The sequence below is a fragment of the Homo sapiens genome, chromosome 11 (genome assembly GCF_000001405.40).
Source record: "Homo sapiens chromosome 11, GRCh38.p14 Primary Assembly".
NCBI lineage: Eukaryota > Metazoa > Chordata > Mammalia > Primates > Hominidae > Homo > Homo sapiens.
In genome coordinates this window covers 82,939,474-82,942,259 of record NC_000011.10, presented here as the reverse complement: position 1 = coordinate 82,942,259, position 2,786 = coordinate 82,939,474, and positions in this window count along the sequence as shown.

The following is a 2,786-nucleotide window of genomic DNA, read 5'->3' as shown; positions in this document are numbered from 1 at the left end:
ATTGCTTTGGCTATTTGGGGTCTTCCATGGTTCCATATAAACTTTAGGATTTTTTTTCTATTTCTTTGAAGAATGTCATTGGTATTTTGATAGGGATTGTATTGAATCTGTAAATTGCATTGGGTGGTACTGTCAGTTTAACAACATTAATTCTTCCAACCCATGAGCATGGAATGGCTTTCCTTTTTTTGTGGTCTCTTCAATTTTTTTCATCAATGTTTTATAGTTTTCCTTGCATGGATTGTTAGCTTCTTTGTTTAAATTGATTCCTAGGTATTTTCTATTCTTTGTAGCTATTGTAAAAGAGATTGCTTTCTTGATTCCTATTTCAGATTGTTTGCTCGTGGCATATATAAATCCTATTGATTTTTGTATGTTGATTTTGTATCTTGCAACTTTACTGAATGTTTATGAGTTCTAGTAGTTTTTTTTTTTAAGTCTTTAGGTTTTATTTCTTTCTCTTGCCTTAGTGTTGTGGTCAGGACTTCCAGTACTATGTTGAGTGGAAATGGTGAAAATGGGCATCCTCTTCTTGTTACAGACTTTAGAGGAAAGGCCTTTAATTTTTCCCCTTTTAGTACAATGTTAGCTGTGGGTTTGTCATATGTGGCCTTTATTTTGAGGTATGTTCCTTCTATACTCAGTTTGATGAGGTTTTTTTATATAAAGGACATGAATTTTATCAAATGCTTTTTGGCATCTATTGAAATAATCACAGTTTTTGTTCTTGGTTCTATTAATGTGATGTGTCATGTTTATTGATTTGTGTATATTGAGCCATCCTTGAATCCCTGTGATAAATTCTACTTGATCATGGTGAATGATCTTTTAAATGTGTTCTTAAATCAGGTTTGCTAGTATTTTGTTGAGGATTTTTGCATCTATGTTCATCAGTGATATTGGCCTGGAGTTTTATCTTTGTGTCCTTATCTGGTTTGGTATCAGCATAACACTGGCCTTGTAGAATGAATTTGGAAGTATTCCCTCTTCTTCAATTTTTATTTTTTGAAGAGTTTGAGTAGAATTTGTAGTTGTTCTTTTTAAAATGCTTGGTAGAATTCAGCAATGAAGCTCTTGGTTCTGGGCTTTTCTTTGATGGTAGACTTTTTATTACAGCTTTGATCTCACTACTTTTTATTGGTTTGTTGAGGTTTTCTATATTTTTCATGATTCAGTCTTGGTAGGTTGTATATGTCCAGGAATTTACCCATTTCTTCTTGGTTTTCCAGTTTGTTGGTGTGTAGTTGTTCATAATAGTCTGATTCTCTGTATTTCTGTGGTCTCTGTTGTCTTGTTTCTAATATTATTCGTCTGGTTCTTCTTTCTCTCTCTTTTTTGTTGTTAGTGATATGGCATGAATCTGTGTCCCCACCAAATCTCATGTTGAATTGTAATCTCCAGTATTGGAGGTAGGGACTGGTGGGAGGTGACTGGATCATGGGGGTGGATCTTTCATGAGTGGTTTACCACCATCCACTTGGTGCTGTTCTCGTGATGGTGAGTTATCATGAGATCTGGTTGTTTAAAAGTGTGTAGCACTCCTGCCCCCTACTCTTGCTCCTGCTCCCACCATGTTTGCCTTCTGCCTTAAGCAAAAGCTCCCTGAGGCCTCCCCAGAAGCAGATGCTGTCATGCTTCCTGTAAAGTCTGAGAACGGTGGGCCAATTAAGCCTCTTTTCTTACAGATTACCCAGGCTCACATATTTCTTTATAGCAGTGTGAGAATGGACTAATACAATTAGTCTAGCTAAAGGTTTGTTGGTTTTGTTTCTTTTCAAAAAACCATTTTTTTTTTCATTGATCTTTTGGGCTTTCTTTAAGTCTCAATTTCATTTATTTCTGCTCTGATCTTTATTATTTCTTTCCTTCTACTAATTTTAGGTTTGTTCTTGCTTTCCTAATTCCTTTAGGTACATCATTAAGTCATTTATTTGAATCTTTTGACTTTTTTTCATACAGGTGTTTATTGCTATAAACTTCTTAGTACTGCTTTTGCTATGTCCCATAGATTTTCATATATTGTATACCCACTTTCATTTGTATACCCACCATCATTTTAAGTTTCTTTTTTTTTGAGACGGAGTCTCACTCTATTGCCCAGGCTGGAGTGCAATGGCGTGATCTCGGCTCGCTGCAACCTCTGCCTCCCGGGTTCAAGCAATTCTCCTGCCTCAGCCTCCTGAGTAGCTGGGATTATAGGCATGCGCCACCACACCTGGCTAATTTTTGTATTTTCAATAGAGACAAGGTTTGACCATGTTGGCCAGGCTGGTCTTGAACTCCTGACCTCGTGATCTGCCCACCTTGGTCTCCCCAAGTGCTGGGATTACAGGCATGAACCACCGTGCCTGGCCTAAAATTTCTTTCTTAATTTCTTTATTGACCTGTTGGTTGTTCAGGAGAATGTTTAATTTCCATGGAAATTAATTTTGTAAAGTTTCTGAGGTTCCTTTTGATATTGATCTCTTGTTTTATTCCATTGTGGTGAGAAAAGATACTTAATATGGTTTTTACCTTTTTTTGAATTTGTTCAGACTTGTTTGGTGGCTTAAGACATGGTCTATTCTTGAGAGTGTTATGTGATGTTGAAAAGTATGTGTATTCTGCAGCACCTGGGTGAAATGTTCAGTATGTGTCAGATAGGCCTTATTAGGTGTTTTCCATCTAGATGATCTGTTCATTCCTGAGAATGGGGTATTAAAGTCCTCTACTATTATTTTTAGAGACAGTGTCTCACTCCGTTGCCTAGGCTGGAGTGCAGTGGTGTGGTAGCTCACAGTAACCGT